Here is a 20,882-nt window from a genome sequence, read left to right on the forward strand (position 1 = left end):
GACCTCGAAGTCCCCTGCCCCACCATAGCCTTGCTTCAAGTTGTCCCACCTTTCTGGACCAAACCAATGTACATTTTACAAGTATTGATTGATGTCTTATGTCTCCCTAAAATGTATAAAACCAAGCTGTAGCCTGACCACCTGGGGCACACGTTCTCAGGACCCCTGCTGGTGTGGCACAGGTCATTTTTCCTCATATTTGACTCTAAATAAATCTCTTCAAATATTTTACAGAGTTTCACTCTTCTGTTGACAAATTCAATACGCATTTACTGGAGACCTACTGTGTTTTAGCCACTGGAGAGACAAAAACATATTAAGAAATGAAATAAAAGGAGAGGCAGAGTTTGCAAAAGGCCAAGAAGGTCAGTTGATAGGGACAGTTGCTCTGGAAAAGGCAGACAAGTTGTAGAAAAGAGATGAATACAATGGTACCTACTGATAAACATAGTAATGTCTCTATTTCTTTCTATATTAAAGCCTATATTACCATATATGTCTCCAGTGGACGTTTTGCTTGATAGGGCCCACCTAACATGATGGTTTAAAGCTCCTGAAGTCAGGAGACAACAGCCTGGACAATATGAGAAGAAGAGATAATGACCTTTCATCTGAGGCTGTTCTGAAGAAAAATTATTAGCCTTTTCCAAACTTTAGCACAAAGAGGAGTCCAGGGTAAACGTGGAGGCCAATTATGAGCAATTACTGCTTTGAGTTTTATATGCCATAAGAGAATATAGAGTAATTGCAAAAAATAATTTTAAAAAATTAACACTTATCAAGTACTTCTACTATGTATAGTCTTGTCCTAAGCACCTTACTCATGTAATATTCACATCAGTCTTGTGGGCTCAACACACTATGGCCGTTGTTTTACAAATGAGGAAACTGAGACACGAGAGCTTAATTAACTGTACTAATGGTACAGAATGAAAAACTGACAGTTGAGATTTAATCTCCATTCTGAATAATTCCACAGCCTTTCCATATTAGTCACCATGCTCAGCAATGTCATGAAAGTTTTTCATGGTTTAGAGCAATCATTGTTTAAGCCCATCCAGTTCCCTGTGTTGTGGGTACACGCATCTCGGAGGAATTGTAAACTGCCATGTAAGTGACTCATTCTCAACCCTGCCCAAAAAATAGCCAGAAAGGAAACAGTTGCAGTATTTATATTGGGTAGAGTTTGTGGTTTGTTGATTGCTCCCACGCTCTGTTCTCATTTCTGTGCTTTAGACTGTGTCATACACTACCTGTGCAGGTAGTTGTATGACAATGTTGTACCTTGTGTCAACATTAATATTTTTACACTATTTTCCCTGGAATTGTATCATAAGCCATACTCTTCTCAGGTAGAAAAAGTGATAATTTCAGTTACCTAATCTTTTACTCAAAAGTAATCACATACAGTCAAAATGATTTGCTTTTTCGAATACTGGGGTTTGGGGGGATGAAAGGAAATATTGGTAGGCTACAAATATAGGAAAATATAATTATAGCAGTGTGCAAAAGGCAGGAGTTAGTTATTTATGAGAGGGAGGGAAAACAAACCCAAAATTATTTTGTTTGGAAGAAAAATATTTTGACAGAACAGATTAGGAGGTAGAACTTTGTCTTTCACTGTATGGGGAAAACCTCATCTTTTGGGTAATGAAAGAATATTTGTTAAAGAGTTAGTGGATAGATTATTGCTATTAATAATAACAGTCAATCCTGAAAGAGAAGAGTGCAGGTTGCATATAAGATATATAAACACACATACAGGCACACACAAGTTCATTATTCCCTACAACAATTCATGATAGAGAGTGCTTCTTTCTTCATTTATAAATTTCTCACTGTTTTTATGACCACTAATATAAAATCAGGAAATAAAAGTGTAAAAATTTTATGTAATTTGCTGAAGATCTTATACCTATCTGTAGCACAAGAAATCAAACCCAAGCAGCATCAGCATAATTTCAGAATCCAGGTATTGAAATATGATATTATGTGACTTCTTTTTTCTTTTTTTTTTTTCAGAGAAGGGTCTCATTCTATCACTAGAACGGTGTAGTTGTGTAATCATAGCTCACTGCAGCCTTGAACTCCTGGCTGCAAGCAGTCCTTGTGCCTCAGCTTCCCAAGTAGCTGGGACTACAGCCACCCTGCCCAATTAATTTTTGTTTTAAGTGCTTTGTAGAGTTGGGGGTCTCACTATGTTGCCAAGGCTGCTCTTAAACTCCTGGCTCAAGTAATCCTCCTGCCTTAACTTCCTAAAATACTGTGATTACAGGAATGAGCCATTGCACCCAGCCAGTGACTTATAATATTTCAATATATACAGGTTAATCATTGTAGTAGCCACTCTCCAAAATGGCTTTCAACCCCAGCTCCTCTCCAGGCTCTCAGGCCTTCATCTACTGACTGAGAGTAATACCACTGGCTTCCTAAAATCTTCTTGATTGAACTGAGTCATGCTATCAGCTTCCCTAGTTCTCCAGCTTGCAGGTAGCCCATTATGGGATGTTTCAGCCTCCATAATTGCATAAGCCAATTCCCCCAGTGAATTCCCTTTCATCCATCCATCCATCTGTCTATTTACTTATCTATCTTCATCATCATCATCATGATCTATCTATCTTTATTTCTATCTATCCATCTTTATTTCTATCTATCCATCTATCATCTATCTTCTATTGGTTTTGTCTTCCTGGAGAACCCTGACTAATATAACGATAGATTATGGTAGCACTGAGGGTATGTTACTTCCCAGGTCGACAAAATCACAGAAATATTTCAGTTTCTGCCTTGGTATCTTGGATTAATTGCTATGAGAGAGGCCAGTTGACATGTTGTGAAGATACTCAATTAAGCCTGAGAGGGGTGCCACATGAAGAGGAAACAACTTGTAATACTAACTTGACAATCTTTTGGTGAGGTACCTTGGGGATGGATCCTCCAACTTCAAACCATCAGATGCCTGCAGCTCCAGCTGAGATCTGACGCCAACCTCATGAAAATCCTAGAATCAGAACTGTCAAACCAAACTGCTCCTGAATTCCTGAAATGGTAAAAGATAATAAGAGCAACTGTGATTATTATTTTAAGCCACACATTTTGAAATAATATGTTAACTAGAAGTAGATAATTAACACAATCATAAATTTATTATGTATTCATTAAAAATGATTTTGTTGACAATAAATGTATATTAAAATTTTCTTCAATTATTTTACATTTTCCCCACTGCCTATGATTTCAGACTTTGAAACAATTAGAACATGCTTATAAAAGAAAATAAAACAAACTAGAATAAAGTTTCCATCATCAAGAGTATAATTGAATTTTTTTGGAATCTCAAGATTACTAAAATTTTAATGTCAAGAGTTTGTTTGTTTGTTTGTTTAAGCTCACTTTATGAAGAGCAAATGAGCAGTCAGTCAACATTACCATGTGTTGACCAAACCAGTGGGAATGGTACTGTTTGATTTTTTTGTGTTACAGAAACACAAAATAAAAATAACAGCAGGAGTGACCTCTGCACTCTAAATTGAAGAAGTTCACGTTTCCATCCCCTGATGTGTTTCCTTTGCGTGTCACCCTTGCCCCTCCAATAGGACTTTGAACACACTATTGCTAGTATTTTCTTATATCAGCTCCTAAGTTTGGTGACTGTATTATTTTCTTCTAGAAACATAGTAGAAACTTACCTGAAATACAGTAGAAAATCAATAAATTTTATTGAAACAATGAGTAAATAAATGAATAAACAAAGGAAATGCTTCTTCATAAAAATATTAAAAATAAAATTAAGTCTCTATGGCAGATTGCATTTTCCTATAAAATAGCTTCAGTGATATTACATATCTCATTTGCTCTTCTATCGTTGTGCCCTGCCCCTCACAAGAGGCAGAGTCTCTTCCCCTTAGACCAGGACAGATCTTTGTGATTGCCTTGTCTAACAGATTATGGTGAATGTTATGTGAGTTCTGAAGTTGTGTCATAAAAAGAATTTATGGCATTTTTCCTTTTTTTGGAAAATTCATCCTTGGTATCCAGCCACCATACTGTGAGAAAGCTAAGGCCACGTAGAAAGATCATATATAAATGTTCTGGCCAATAGCCCCACTAAGATTTCAGAGAACAACCAGCATTAACTGCCAGATATTGGAATGAGAAAGCTTTGAAATGACACCAATCCCAGCTGTTTTATGACTGCAACTGCATGAGAAATCCTGAGAAGAAACCACTTAGTTGAGCCCAGTTAACCTCCCAAAATTACAATAATATGAGACAGGCTAAAATGATCTCATTCTCTGATATGTTTTTTGCAGATAACATTTTCCTTTCCAATAAGACTTTGAATAATTATTGCTATTATTTTGTTATATAAGCAGCTAAAGTCTGTCTTATTCTTCTATGGGGCTAACATGGCAACTGGATTATAATAAAAATTTAATAACTAATTGATGACTAAATAAGAAATGACTATATGAATAATAAAAATGAATGTTTCTTTGTATAAATACTAACAAAAAAGGTTTTTGGTAGGTTATATTTTCCAAAATATGGTTATAATAAGTTTGGGATAATTTGTTATGCAGAAATAAATAACTGGAATATCCTTCTTTTAGTCCCAATGTACAGCCTCTCTTGAATCTCTTTTTAACATTTGTATTGCTATTACTATGAGATCATTGAAGAAAAAGACAGCAAAAATCAATCCCAGAATATTGCAGTTTACTTCCTGACATTGCCACTTTTTAGTTATGAAAATTTGGACTTTATTTAACCTCTGAAAGTCATTATGTCATGATTTGAAAAACTTAAAAATATATATTAATTGAACTACTCTTTACTCCAGAATATTCTGTGTACTTCAAGACAAGGTTTATTTGACAGATAGATAGATGATAGATAGATAGATAGATAGATAGATAGATAGATAGATAGACAGACAGATAGATAGATATAGAATTATTTGCCCACATTTAAACTCAAGCTATTTGAGGAAAATATCTAGGTTTCTGGCTTCTTTTAGATGAAAATGAGTAGAATGTTGTCTTCAGTTTGGTACAGGCTTGCTACTTATGGTCTCAAAATTCATGGCATACTTTCCTATGTAGGTGACTGAGTTTATAGCCACTATTTCAAATTGTTAAAGCCGTATTAGGCATTATTTTTATTCCAATGGGTATGTTCTTTTAACAGTTGTTACAAAAAGAGTTATTTAATTATTTTTATTTTAGTTGGTTTTTCCAGATTTGGTATAAATGATCCTATTTAGCTTTGAATTAATTAATTCATTCATTTAGTCATTCATTCAGGAAATATTTTTAGAGATTTTTGTATGTATTAGACATTTGCTATGTAGTCTTCTGAGTGTTACAACATCGCTTTGTAAATATTAGTTTGCTCCCCAAACACAAAGCCATATAGTTAGGAGTTCATAGATAGGACAGAATCCTCAGGCACAGGACTGGTGTTCCTCCTAGCTTAAGACTTAGAAAGGACATTCCTGTGGTAGAAATCAGAATCAATTTAGGTCACTGCTGTCTAATAGAATATTCTGCAATGATAAAAGTATTTCAAATCTTTGTTGTTCAGTATCGTAGCTATTAGTCCCATGTGACTAGTGAAATTGAGGACATAAATATTTAATTTAATTTACTTTCAATAAACTTCAACTTAAATGTAAACAGTCACAAGTAGCCAGTGGCTACAGAATCGTACAGCACAAATCTAAGCTGTATTGACTTCTTAATGAACTAACATGGAAGCAAATCGACAATGACGTTATTGTCAATGTCAGTGTTCTTTTGGGACCTGGATAGAATGTTAGAGAGAGAACGTTGATTAAAACAGTGAATAGCATCATAGATAAAATATTAGGCATTGAGAAATTATCAGTGAAAAATGAGACAACAAAATCAACCATTCATTCATTAAAATGAGTTCTAGCCTACAGAGAGAAGAAGGGAACATTAGAGTTAAAGGGAGGCTTTAGGCATCATCTTGTTTAGCCTCACTTTCTAGGAGACAAAGTCCCAGCAAAGGCATCTTGACCAAGATCACAACTACTCAGCAGCAAAACCTGATCAGAAACACACACCTCCTGGTTCCTTACCCAGGGTTGTCACTATGAATGTTTTCTGCAGTTTGCAAGCATAATCCAGATGCCTTGACCCAACTACAATTTGCCTATTTATTCATTCATTAAAACTGTGCCCCTAACACTTTTGAATAATGTGATGCACTTTGGGCATCATATTTATTTGGAATATTTCACAAACTTCTGAAAAAGAAGAAGAAGAAGAAATAGTATAGGGTTCTGTATACATATAGGCCAATTTTTTCATTAGAAAAATATTCTGAGCAAACTGGAGAGATGGACAGTTCTGTCATATGATAACTTCTCAGGTAAAGGCAGCTTTCAAAACACACTTCAACAGAATCCCGGTGATACTGTTACCGTGGAGACAGAAGCATCGGGAGGTTTTAAAAGCAGGGTGCAGGAAGAGACACTCAGAGCCCTCTTTTACATGCAGAGCCATCATTTGACTCTATTTTATGCAGCACTGCTGCAATTTTTGATCAAACAAGTACAAAAAGGTAACAGTCTTGACAACAGCTCTGTACAAAAGGTCAGGCAGCTTTTGACTGTGTTTCTTGTCTTTTCCCTTTTCTTAATCAGAGGCTGTGAAAGAGCTGGAGTGGTTTCCCTTTGCATAGCTACAGAAAATACTTTAGGCATTAAGTGTGTGTTGATTTTAATCAAATACGATATTGATATCTTCCAGCTTTAACCCGTTAACCCTATTACAGCAGTGAATGGCATAATATTACGGACCTCCTTTTATGTTTGTCAGCATACATCAAAGATCTTGGGAAAGAGGGATGTTAGATAATGAATCCTTTTGTGTTATTAATGAACTTTATATGTAAACACTAATTCATTCAAGAATTTTTTTAATCCAGAGAGAGCTCCATGAGAGAAATTATGAAGAACACATAAAAGTATTCTACATTGTTCTGAATTTTTTAAAGTATCAATTTTTAATTTTGACTACTCCAGATTAGAAGTCTTCATCGAAAGAAATGACACTGACATACTCATCTTTGTATACCCTGGGCCTGGCACAATGTCTGGCACAGAGAAGTCACCTCATGAATGTTTCTCAAATGACAGATTACTTAGATACAGATGCACTTCCTATTTTCAGGGCATTTACTTTCTTGGTAAGGAATATCTAAATCTGGTTGTATCCTGCTTGATGATTTGTAAAAGCACTGCCTCTGAATGATTTATGAGTGAATGAATGAACTAGAAATCATCATTCAACTTATTCACGGATCCATTCATTTAGTGCCTAAACTCCAAAGCTGTATGTTCAACAAACTCCTTTTGGTTTCCCTGATGTTGAACCAAAGTTAGTAGTGTAAAATCTCCCCTGTAGAAAAAATGCAAATAAATGGTAGCTCTAAGAGAAGAAATGAGACAAAGCCTAGGTTTTGAAATGCACAGCACCAAGAAAATGGCACTCGACTCATTTTTATTTCTTGCCCTGAGAAAGAATAGGCAGCTTAAATTTAGGTCTCCCAGGGCAACAGGGATATGAATTAACTCAGTACCACCTACTCAAGCTAATCTCTGCCATCAGAATCACGATGGCTTCTATGTAAGGATAATGCAATAAAAAGAAGATGGCTCTGGGGCACAGTTATAATCTGCTTTATAATTTGAAAACCTCCATTTAAAAAGTAAATTTAACTCCTACTTGACTGTTGCAGTAGGTGCCATCTTCTAGGGACAGAGAAAAAGCCGCATCTTTGCATAGTAATATTTCTTAGTCTTGATCCTAATAGAAACACATCTGTAAAGGAGAAGCTATTTTGGTTACCAAACATCTTTAAACTTGTCATCTCATTTGTTGGCACACTTCATAAATTTTGAAATTATAAAGACTATGTGCTGTTGGCATTTTGAGTCCAGATTAATTAGTTCCTTTTGAAAGTCTTTTAAAATTTCATGTCAGGCAGTGTGACTTTTGGTTATGGAAGACATTGTCTTGAATCAAACAAAATGCACTTTTGTATAATTTTTTATTTAATTGAAGTACATCTCATCATAGTACTTCAATTAAAACACTAATGATGAACATTTTATAAATTTATTTATATGTACTTATTTATAATACATTTTTATTATCTGTTTATAACTATTGAAATAATTATATAGACACTGATGTTTACATTTATTTTTAGTTCACTGGAAAGACAGGAATAAATTTTCCTGTAAGTAATACATTATAAATAAAACCAGAGTTTAAACTGCCCATTACCCACTTTGACTTTCTCCTCTGCCCCTTGCTTCCTGTAGATCTGAAAGAATGTGGATATGTAAATATTTACAAAAATATAAATGATATATAGCGTTTTGTTTTGTGTTTTGGTAGAGTGTATTTTATATAAATTTTTTTTACCAATATAGACTTAGTTGTGTGACTATACTATATCTTAGACATTTTCATACCCATATCCATTCATGGGACTATATGTTTTTCCAGTTTTTGACTATTACACAGTGTGCATGCGTTCAGAATGTCTTAAGCTATGTGATCTAGTGTATTTTGTTGATACATTCTAAGGTAGCACATCTTTCTTTCTCTCCTTTCTTCTTTTCTCAAACAATTTCTACCAACAAGGGCTCTTGGCCGAACACAACAGAAGTTGACTCTGGCTGTGTTATAGGACTTTCTCCATAGTTCGGCTAAAAATGGGGTCCTTGTCATACGACCATGAAAGATTAGGCTTGCAGAAACTTTGAAGGGTAACGCCATGCGTGGTGGCTCACGCCTGTAATCCCAGCACTTTGGGAGGCCAAGGCCGGTGGATCACGAGGTCAGGAGATCAGGATCATCCTGGCTAACACGGTGAAACCCCGTCTCTACTAAAAATACAAAAAAAAAAAAAAAAAAATTAGCCGGACGTGGTGGCAGGCGCCTGTAGTCCCAGCTACTCAGGAGGCTGAGGTAGGAGAATGGCGTGAACCCGGGAGGCGGAGCTTGCAGTGAGCTGAGATCGAGCCACTGCACTCCAGCCTGGGCGACAGAGAGAGACTCCATCTCAAAAAAAAAAAAAAAAAAAAAAAACTTTGAAGGGTGAGAAAAATTGAATTTATTGGGCTAAAAGGAAAAAACAAAAAGCGGGGAGGTGGGGGGAACAGACTCTCAGCAAAGTGAGAGTCCTACCAGCAGGCTTCCTGCCTCACAGACTGAATCCCAGGTACCACCCTGGATAAGGAGAGGCCAGGCTTCTACCCTCTGCAAATGGCGCGAATTTCCAAGGCTCTACCCCAGTACACACCCCCCACTGTGTGCAGGCCAGTGGGAGGATTTGCGAAGAAGCTGTTTTTATTTGGCTGTCTCAGCTGTTTGAGCAGAAGTATGTTTTTTAAACAGGTTGCTGGAAGGTTCACAAAGTAATTGGAAGGCCTAGCATCTTCCTACTGCACCAAGTCTGGGCTTCCAAGAACAGTGACCCAAACTGCACTGCAGAACTGGCCTTACAATGAACCCACAACCCGTTGTGCTTCCCCAATGAGTGTTACAGGGAATCCTACTGTTAACTGCCTCTTCTCACGAAACTTGAGCTTGCATCCCTTGCATCCACTGTGTATCTTCCAGGCTACCACAATTTCCACTGAAAGAAAGAGGCCTCTGCTGTCACCTGAGCCTAGCGAGGGAAGGAGGAGACAGAGAAAGAGAAAGGCAGAGAGACAGAAAGATTACAAGAGAGAGACATGGAATCTATAGCCTTTTATTTTATGTTTCAGTAGAGTGTGTTTTACATAAACATGTGTTTTTTACAAATATAGACTTAGTTGTCTGACTATACTATATTTTACACATTTTCATATCCATAGCCATTTATGTAGTTTTAATATATATCTCCTTAATTTGACATAAAACTTCTTGAGCAAAAGGAAAAAAAGTCTACTATTTAATATATCTCTGTTGCTTCACATTTAACAACTATTTAATGAATATTTGCTAATTTATTTTCTAATCAAAGCAATCATTAAAGTATTTAATATCACAATTCACGGAAAAAAATTACCCAAAGAAAAATATGCTAAAACCTCTCTATTTTTATTAGATTATGGGACTCTGGTTAAACACAAAGCAGAATTTATCTTTTCACTAACATGGAAAAGTATTCTGCATAGGTATTAATTTAAGGGACTTCTAGATAGTTATATTTTAAATTAACTAAGAAAGAAGTTGATGTGTCTCTATTACATGTTACTTGTATTTGCTCTGTGGTCATCATAAGTACTTCTTTTCACCTATTATTTAGTAAGAATCCTTAATATTTACAATACTTATCTTTTAACTCATTAAAGTGCCAGTTAAAATCATCTTCCCAGAGCATATTGTCATGCAGGTTGCTGTTAAAATAGAAGAGTTTACATCATCTAAATGCTTTACCCACAATCTTCTCCCAGCGTACCAGTCTCAATAGGAGATGCCAAATGGACACTTCACGAAACCCTATGTACTTCAATTGTAGAATATATTTGACATGAAAGCTATACCAGTCAGTATGTGGATGGGGAGGAGGTAAGACAGTGGCTGACACAGAAAATTTAAAAGAAAATTCACAAGTAGGACTGGCTATTTAAATTTATACTTCTAATTGAAGACACAGCTACCACAACAATTTGAAATATTGGTAATATCCTAATCTTACATCTTTAAGGGAGGAAACTTATTATTATTATTTAATGTTATACAATTTTATTTATCTTAGAAAATATTGTAATTTAAATAAGGATGAAAATGTGTTCCATGACCAAGAAGAGAAATGTACCCTCTCAGCCAATGTAATTCATTCAATAGCCAGGAGAATTGGAGTGCAGGTAACTGCAAGTCTATCTTAAAGCTCTCTTTCCTAAATAGACACTATGACATTGAGGGACTATTAAAAGTCTATTGAGGGACTATTAAACGTCTAATTTTCACACATAGGTTTTTTTCCCTCCAATAGTGTCAGTCTTAGGTCTGTTCTCAAGACATCACCATTTTAGAATCCAAAAATAGTGAATCCATGCCAAAAAATATAACAAATCACTGTTAGTTGTTTTAAAGATACAATTCTGCGTCAGTGATTATGAGTGTTTGTATGGTGGTTTTTACAGTTGTTGTTATCATTTAAAAATTGTCCTTGGGAAAACAGCTTCTAAAAATGCACCATTTCATTTTCATAGAAAAGTGAAGGGACAGAATACACAATCACCTTTACAGCAAGCCATCATTGTTAGAACAGAGGAACACAGACTAACAGTATAAATCAAAGAGCAGTAATGGAACAGGAATGCACAGCTTGGCAGGTTAAAGCAATTAGTAAACAACAAAGGTGGCTTTGAGGGTATGAAGCTCACTTTTTGGCTTAGCTGGGTAATATCAGCTGTGGAGTCTTAGTCACGCTTTCAGCTAGAGATATTTATAGGCTGTAACACTGGCTGTAATGCTGAGTATTCTCTTTTGTGGTATACTTGCATTTTCTCTGACTAAAAAGTGGAAAAGTCTTCAAATGAAGATAAACCATGGGCATGGCTATCTTTCAGTAATTTGAGAGCAACCATGCTGTCTTACACATTGATATGCTGCCAATGTCTATTCCAGTCTCTGGATAGAGTGAATCCTGAAAAAAAAGTTTACTAAACAAATGTATAAATAAAACATAAATAAACAAATGAACAAATGGCCATGTGGGACAGAAAACCAGTCTGGTACTACCATTCAGGAATTTAATAACAGGCTTTCAACATTTTTAGGTCTGTCCATTGGGTTATATCATCACCATTCATTCACCTACTGATTTCATTTCAATAACCATTCCTTGAGTGCCTGCTGTTTGTCAGACATGCCAGATACTATCCTATATACCAGACAAATGGATAAAAATTAATAAAATAGTCCTTAATGAGTTTTTAAAGAATGTTTAAACTATGATACAATATGATAATGACACAGGATTTTTCTCAGCCACTTTGCCAGAGTGGAGACATCCAGCTGGTGATGCCCCTGCCCAAGCCTTGCTTGGGCCCAAGCTTGCTGCAGGATATGCCCCATCTACTTGGCCCACTGGGCTATGTCTGTCTTGCACTGTGGTGCAGATCCCATGGCCACTGTGACTGCACACTCAGCCCCTGCCAGGAAGGGGTGTATGAGCAAGCAAGTCAGGGTCCAGTCCGCCATTCCAAGTGCTGCTGCTCCTTCCCATCATGTGGGGCAGCTGCCTTCCATCTGCAGAGGGTGGAGGGCCACAGTGTTACAGCCTTCTCTGTACCTGCATTTGGTGAGTCCCTAGTTCTTGTCCCAAGTCCAAGAAGAATGAGGTTATGCAACAGTTGAAGGGTGAGGAGGGCAGAGAATAATTTTATTAAGCTACAAAACAGTTCTCAGTGGAAAGGGGATGTGAGGGTGTTTCCCTACCGGAAGTTGGGTGGTCTTTCTCTCAGTGTGGCTGAATCAGGGACTCTTATGGGCTCAAAATGGGGAGTGTGTGCTGATTGGTGTGTGAGTATGCAAAAAAAGGCTAAAGCTAAGACACACTCAAAGGTGAGCATGACAGTGTAAAAAATCAATTAGGGAAGTGTAGACATATGTAAAATAGGTGAAGGGTGTGGATCAATCAGAGGAAATCGTGCCAAAAGGGAAGAGAGGTTCTTAATTTGGCCCATGGTTTTACCAAGGACTTGTAGTTAGGCTTTAAACTGTCTTCAGCTTGAAAGTCAGGATTCACTGTGGAACCGCCCCTGTCTGCCTAGGATTTGTCTGCCTCTTGCCACTATCATTCTCCCCTCTGAAGAGGTACATCTAACTGCTGTTAGGATAGGGATGATGACCCATCTTGAACTGCTTCCTGCTGACAGGGGATGCTGTTTTGGGAAACGGCAGTCAGATCTCTCTCAGAGGCCTATCTAGGGGTCCCCGGTAAAAGAAAGCCATCATCTGAAGCTCCGGTTGCATGACTGTTTGGAGTGTGATGGACTGGAGGCAAGAAGAAAGAAACCAGGCTATTAGAAGACACATGTCAAAATGAAACAAGGGGGTAAGGACAGCTTAAAAATCCCGAGGCTGCTGACATGCCCAGATAACTGGTAGCTATAAGTATGCCTGCTAAGATTTGGGTGCATGGAGTTTGGCTTTGCTTAGCTCCTTTGGTCTTATTTTCCCAAAAAGAAACCTCTGGGTTATGGGCATCCTATTTACCCCATTATCGGGCAGGATTTTTAGCATAATTGCCCAGAACTAGAATATTGATCCCAATGTTTACAATAATGCCATGACAAAATTTAGCAGAAATTTCTAAGGGTGGTCCAGTGGATGGAACAACAAAATCAATCATATGAAGAAAGTTTGGCAGAGAAAGTTTTCTGTTTTTGTTTGCTTTTTTAGGTATGTAAGTGTCCTGTATTTGACATGTTTGTCCTAAATATTAAGAGTATTCTGCCTAGAGAACGCAGAATCTGCAATGCCATGGAATACTCAGAGAACAAAATGCTAGTAACAAATAAGTTCAGAGAACAATGAAAAATTTGAAATATTTACGAAATATCCATTTCTCTCATAAATATCCCCACCCCCACGGGACACACATGAAGAATTAGTGCAGGACCAATGAACAATATGATAGGGATAAATAGCAAAAGCTAATGGATAGAGCTAAGCTGGAGGAGCTTATTAGATTGCTAAAGGTTTTAAAGCTCATAAAGGTGTGCTTACATGGTAGATGACCTCATCTGAGTTAAATAGAAAATGTAGCTTACTGAGTACCCCGCTAGATCATTCTGTTTACAGTTTGGTTTCTTTATCTATTAGCACCTGGTTTCACCCAAGTAGAACCATTTTTTAACCTGTGTGAGAAGGGAGTTTCAAAGTTTCTTTAAACCACAGAGAAGCATTCATTTTTGCTACAAGGAAGACTTTGTATTCTTTCATTTCCAGTGGTGACAAAAACCTCATGTGATAGAATGTGTTGCCTGAGATGCCAATGTCACAAATTCCGCCATCTACCTTTGTCCTGTTGTGACTTTTCTTAAGAGACAAATTTGGAAGTAAAACTCCAGTTTTTACATCTTTTCTATTGGCTAGTGAATCCACATGGAAATGAAGAATTAACAGCCCTGAACCAACCAACTCAAAATCTCAGTGTACCGACTTCAAAAAGAATGCAGACTCAGAACTGACATTGTCTAATGTGCATGAAAAAAAAATGCAGCAGTGAGAAAGACAGCACAGTGTCCTTTCTGGCCCTGACCTGTGGAATCTTTTGGTGGTGTACACTCAACCAATTCCACTATTACACACCTGGTTTCAAGGCTTCTGTTCCCCTTGGAGAATCCGCTCATTAGTTACTACCAAATCCTCTCATCCAATCAGCACTGTGTTGCCTTAGAAGCTTGGAATCTACTGTTCAATTGTGAAAACACCAGACTGTGCACACCAATAGATGGTGCAAATGCCCAACACACTTGTCTGTCTTCTTTCTCTTTATTTTATTTTATCTTATCAAAAATGTTTTAAAATGCAGATTTAAAAACTCTACTGGGCCAATATTCAGAGGGCCATATGTTTCCCCTCTGCCTAGTCTCTAGTGCTGGGTTCGTGCTATTTTTACGTATTTTATGGAAAAGAATAGAAGAATGATAATGGGTGTTGACATCTATACCATGGTGATTTATAAACTGACCCATTTACATTTTGAAAAATAAAGATCCAGCCACACACAGTGGCTCACACCTGTAATCCCAGCACTTTGGGAGGCCAAGGCGGGTGGATCACCTGAGGTCAGGAGTTCGAGACCACCCTGACCAACATGGAAAAACCCCATCTCTACTAAAAATACAAAATTAGCCAGGCATGGTGGTGCATGCCTGTAATCTCAGCTACTCAGGAGGATGAGGCAGGAGAATCACTTGAACCTGGGAGGCAGAGGTTGCAGTGAGCCAAGATCTTGCCACTGTACTACAGCCTGGACAAGAGCAAAACTCCGTCTCAAAAAAAAAAAAAAAAAAAAAAGAAATTAAATAAATAAATAAAATAAAAAATAAAGATCCACCTGTACTGACAAAACGTCAGTAAGAACTTTTTAAGATAAAATTTCATTCCATTAATGTGTGTTCTTTATGCATTTTTACAGATTCCATTTAGGGCTTTAAAAATAACATAATTTTAACAAAGCATTCTTACAAACAACAGACATGTTTAAGAGCATATTTCTACTATCTAGTCAATCAATCCCAATCTGTCTGTAAAGTACATTTTTATATTCTTTGCTCTTTTAGGTGTGCAACTTTCAGGAGACACATGAGAATCAGAAACAAACAAACAAAATAAAGAGTAAAACCAACCTTCCAATGTTTAGGAAGCAAGTTAATGCTAAAATGGAAATTTCTTAGCACACTTTCAGCATAACAATTTGGGGCATTCAGTCAAAGAAGAATACATTGTTTTTCCCTTCCCTCCTAATCTTAACTGAATAAATTTGGCGTGTGTATGTTCTTTTAGATGTTTTCATTGTCATGTTTGTTTTCAAAATAGAACAGAAATTATAGAAGTACTGTATTTTTTCATATAGTTATTCAGAGTAATTTTGTGGCCTAGTCAAGATTTGTGAAGAGTTGCTCCTCCCCTATCCCTGATTCAACTGCTTTCAAGCTTTTGTTCTGCTAGTGTTGATTCCTGCTTAAACTGGTAGTTATCCAGTGCCCTAATATTTTCTCCTTAGAAATTAAAAAGCTGTCTTCAGGAAAAAGCTGATAACCTCATTTTTTCTAAGGGTATAAACAACCAACAGTTCAAAGCACTATCCTATCAAGGGATATTTAAATTTTAATGATCACAAAAACTCATTCAGACTGAATATTTCTAATGTTGCATTCACAGGCACTGTCAAATTGGTAAAGGGAATTTGCATAGAGACTCTTGGGATGTGACTCATTTCAACTCTCCTGTGTGCTATTCTGTCTTCTAGGAAAGACAGTTCTGAGCATGTGTGTGGCCAGCACTATTAGTGCTAGGCATTCAATCTTAATGTTTTCTACATAAGTGTCACCTTAATCTTTTGGAAATAACTAGTGCTATGGATTGAATTGTGTCTCCCTGCCACACACACCCCCAATCCTTCCACCCCCAACACACACAAAAGACATGTTTAAATTTCACCTCTAGTAACTCAGAATGTAACATTATTTTGAAATGGGGCCATTGCTGATAAAATTGGTTAAGGGAAGGTCATACTGGAGTAGGGTGGATCCTTCATCCAATATGACTGATATCCTTATAAGAAGAGGGAATGCGACGTGAAGACACACAGGAAGGACACCCTGTGAAGACTGAGGTGGATTGGAGTAATGTATCTACAAGCCAAGGAGCCCCTGAGTATAACCGAAACTGACAGAGGCAAGGAAAGATCATCTCCCAGAGGCTTCAGAGGAATCATAAACCTGACAATGACTGGAATTTTAGACTTCTGGCTTCCAGAAATGTGAAACAATACATTTATTTTATTTCAAACCACCCAGTTTATGCTACTGTGTTACGATAGTCCTAGGAAACTAATGTAGCTCTTGATTTCACCTTTCTATTTCCCTTCCCTTCCCCTTCCCCTTCTCCTTCCCCTTCCCTTCTTCCCCTTCCCTCCCCTCCCTTCCCTTCCTCTCTCTATCTCTCTCTGTTTTCTTTCTTCCTTCTTTTTTTCTTCCTTTCATTTATTTATTTTTGTCATCATTTATTTGTCTGAGTTTCTCATTGACAAAGACAAGGAAGGAGAACATGAGAAAACAAATCAAATCTCTTTTTCCTTCTACATTAAAACATCAGGAAACTTGCTCTAAGTCATGTCTCCTCTGTGGACTTCAACTGTCTGTAAAAATATTTCAAAAATTTTAAGTTTTAATTTTTATATATTTAAAAATGGTAGAATTATTTATTCAAATGACACAGTGCTCTCAGCATGTAAAATAGATTTTGTAATTACCTTGCTGGTTTGAAGTAGAGAAGGGACCTCAAACCATACAATGTAGCCTCCTGTTATCATCATTTTCTATCCTAGGTGATACCAAAAGTACCATCATGGTTTCAGCTATTTTATTTGCATAACGTTTCCAATAATTGATTGGTATATAGTTAAAAACATCTAAAGGAAACTCTCTGAAGAAAGAGAAAAATAAAATATTGGTTATTACTATTTGGTGAACATACCCAATTATGAGCACTGTAAGTGTATGGCTATTTCAACTATGTAACTTGACAAGGAGGAAGAAAAAAAAAGAATCCCTGTTTTTTGTTTAAGTACTCGGCCATTGGGAATAATAGCCAATCTTTCTGCTGAGGAACCAAGAGGGATCATCAAGTCATAGATTTAATACTAAACAGAGAGTCTTTGTTTGTTGTGAGACAGGGTCTTGCTCTGTCACAAAGTTGGAGTGCAGTGGTATGATTACGGCTCACTGCAGCCTCGACCTCCCAGACTCAAGCAATGGTCCCACTTCAGCCTCCCAAGTAGCTGGGACCACAAGTGCATGCCACCATGCATGGCTAAATTTTTTTTTGGCTTTTTTGTAGAGACAGGGTCTTGCTATGTTGCCCAGGCTGGTCTTGAAGTCCTGGGCTAAAGCAATTCTCCCACATTGGCCTCCCAAAGTGTGGGCATTACAGGCGTGAGCCACTATGCCCAACCCGTATATGTTGAATGCTATGAGTATCAGTGCATTACAGGTTCTCATTGAATCCTCTGAGATAGACATTATTCTCCCATTTGACAGAAGTAGTCACTGAGGCTGTGACTCAGATTCGATAGTATGTTCACAATCACCTAGAGAGGCAGAGAGCCAAGATCCAAAGCCAAGTCTGAAGTTCACACATTGCTATACACTGCTCCCACAATGTATGAAAAGTAGAAATCTGATTTTGTGTCATTTACTTCCATCCCTCTTTTATTCTACTTTTTGTCAGGGTAAGTTCTCTGATAACTATGTTGGGTGAGATAAACCCAGGCAAGAGAGTAATTATGGCTCTTCTGAGACTTTTGCGGGAAACACCAATAGTGGGTCAGAGATATAAACATTACAACAGGTGGGAGATACAGCCACCTGTGTAGTTAGGTTTGGCTGAAGAGATAATCAACTGTACTTTCTCCTTGCTGCAAAAAGAGTTTTGTTTTCACCTCTAATCTATAAGGACAGGCATCATATTCAGAGCATATTACCAATGTGGTGCTAAAACAGCAAGCATTTCCTTCCCTCATTCCATACTTTCACATTCTATATAAAGTTATGCTCACATGGCACTGAAATAGACATTTTTATGTTCTACAAAAATACCACTGCAACATGGCAAAAATGCCATAACTTGAAATAGATTATCTTCTAAGATTAACTTTGCCGAAAGAACAAATTTTTCCCCCACATTCATTCTGTAATCTTTGAGTCCTAGAAAAACTGACACTAATTCCCCACTCCTCTATACATTCTGAGGTACCCTTACTTTGACTGTCTTTTTTAGGAAAGATGTTGACCATGTGAATTCAAAGCAAACCACTTTCTAGCTATGTAAATTTAGAGTATTTACTTAAACTCTCTAAGTCTCAATTACACACCTGTAAAATAGGTATAATAATTTTAAGTGACAGGATCATTGAAAGGACAAAATGCTTCATGTAGTGCTTAGATTTTAAAAAGCACTTATTGCATACTGGGTCTTACTGCTACTTCAATTAAACATTAATTGAACATCTACTATACATGTGCATTGTGCTAGATACTTGGGAACAAAGATTATTAAGGTATTCCCAAGCCACAAAGACCTAACATTCTAATGGGAAGGATAAACAGATAAACAGCACACCATAATGCATTGTGATAATTCTCCAAAAATATCACTCCTTTGGGATCTCAGAGGAAGAAGTGACTGACTGCTAAGAAGGACAGGGCATGAGGTCTGAGAGTGAGGTGGAGAAGGATTAGACATGGATTTATAGACAAAGTAAGAGCTGCAGAGAGTCTTGAAGATCTCAAGAACTGTGTTTTCTGAAAGGAGAAAAGGGGATGAGACACAGAAGTTGAAACATACAGTATTTGGGAATAGTGGTGAATAAGCCTGCAAAGCAGTTTAAAATGATCATAGACCTTTTATGGCATTCTTTAGGCCTAGCCTTGGTTTATTCACATAAGTTTTTAAGGAAAGAAAGAAAATGATAAGGCATAGATAGAATAAGTATTAAACTTGTTGAAAAAGCAAAACAGCCTGTCCAACATGGTGAAACTCCGACTCTACTAAAAATACAACAAAAATAGCTCGGTGTGGTGGCACACACCTGTAGTCCCAGCTACTAGGGAGGCTGAGGCAGGAGAATCGCTTGAAGCCAGGAGGCGGAGGTTGAAGTGAGCCAAGGTCACGCCACTGCACTCCAGCATGGGTGATAGAGCGAGACTCCGTCTCAAAAAAAAAAAAAAAAAAAAAAAAAAAAAGGAAAAACAGGCTTACCAGTTTAATGACCTATGTTAGTCTAGCAGTTTTAGGGTCTAGCAATCACCAGAAATAGTGAGCAGTTTGGATTCTAATACATATGTCAAGTGTTCAATTTTGAATGAGCATGGTATAATTTTAAGTCATAGGTAATTAAGCCATGTCCTCAGCCTATGGAAATAGATAACAATGAACATTTCAAGGAGATTTTTTGCCATTTTCAGAGACCAAAGATACACTGATGATGATTATCAAGTGAGTTGTCACATTTCAAAATTACTCACGGAAATGTTCCTAATTACCTGTCTTAGTGTGCTGCAAATAACAGCCTCTAAATTAGTAATGCTTAGCATGGTTTAACGAATAGCCTTGACATCTAATTCTCTTATAAGATGTGGATGCAACAGAAAAAAAAGAGATTTTTCATCTTAAAACAATGGCAGTCCACAGCCTTAGCACTTTGTTCACAAAGGACACACTCTTCTACCTAAGCTTCTTACATGATAAAATGATAAAATTGACTCCTCTGTGAAAGTCTATTCTAAAATGTCTTTGGAAACAACTAACATATTGATGTTCCTCATAATTCAGATTTGAGGTTTTGGCTGCAGAAAAGTTAGAAAAGAAAGTTTGCCCTGTCATTCAATTAAGAATTGCCATTCCTTTATTTTATAAGTTGGCAGATTAGCATCCTGAATATCCAACCTTGAAATAGGAAAGCAAAATGAGTAGGCCTTAGAGAGAAAGGATTTTCAGTTTAGATTACTTTTCCAGGCAAATTGTGATATAGCAGAAGAGAACAGCCTTTCTGGTCTTCTAAGCAGGGACAGTCTCACTTTCAACATTTTCTCTGTGACCTGAGCCCTGTCACCTGTCTTTTCAGACTTTAGTTTTCAAATCTCTAAAATAGGTGACAATATTATCTAGCTACCTATCTTATTATCAGAATTAAATAACATTAGCCAGGTGTGGTGGCTCACACCTGTAATCCCAGTGACCTGTCAGGCTGAGGAGGGAGAATTGCTTGAGGTCAGAAGTTCAAGATTAGCCTGGGAAACAAAGTGAGACTCCATCACTACAAAAAATTTTTAAAAATTAGTCACGCATGGTGGATCTCACCTGTGGTCCCAGCAAGGCTGAGGTGGGAAAATCACTTGAGTCTAAGAGTTCAAGGCTAAAGTAAGTCATGATTGTGCCACTGCATTCCAGCCTGGGAGACAGAGGGAGGAAAAAAACCAAAAAGAAACCCCCTAAATAAAAAACAAACACCAAAATAACACAGAGAATTAAATAACATTATATGAAATAACCATACATTTTCAAGTGCTGTAATATTACTATCTCATAATTAGGTAAAAAAAA

General features: G+C 37.1%; 1 long non-coding RNA gene across 1 annotated transcript in view; it reads right to left on the bottom strand.

Annotated features, from left to right (window-relative positions):
• Positions 1-2,641: 2,641 nt before the first annotated feature.
• LOC105376637 (uncharacterized) overlaps positions 2,642-20,882 on the bottom strand; it is a 292,809-nt gene continuing 274,568 nt past the window's right edge. The window contains exon 4 of the long non-coding RNA XR_001748194.1: positions 2,642-3,043. This is a non-coding gene — a long non-coding RNA (uncharacterized LOC105376637). The remainder of the gene's footprint in view (positions 3,044-20,882) is intronic.

The sequence above is a fragment of the Homo sapiens genome, chromosome 11 (genome assembly GCF_000001405.40).
Source record: "Homo sapiens chromosome 11, GRCh38.p14 Primary Assembly".
NCBI classification, from domain to species: domain Eukaryota; kingdom Metazoa; phylum Chordata; class Mammalia; order Primates; family Hominidae; genus Homo; species Homo sapiens.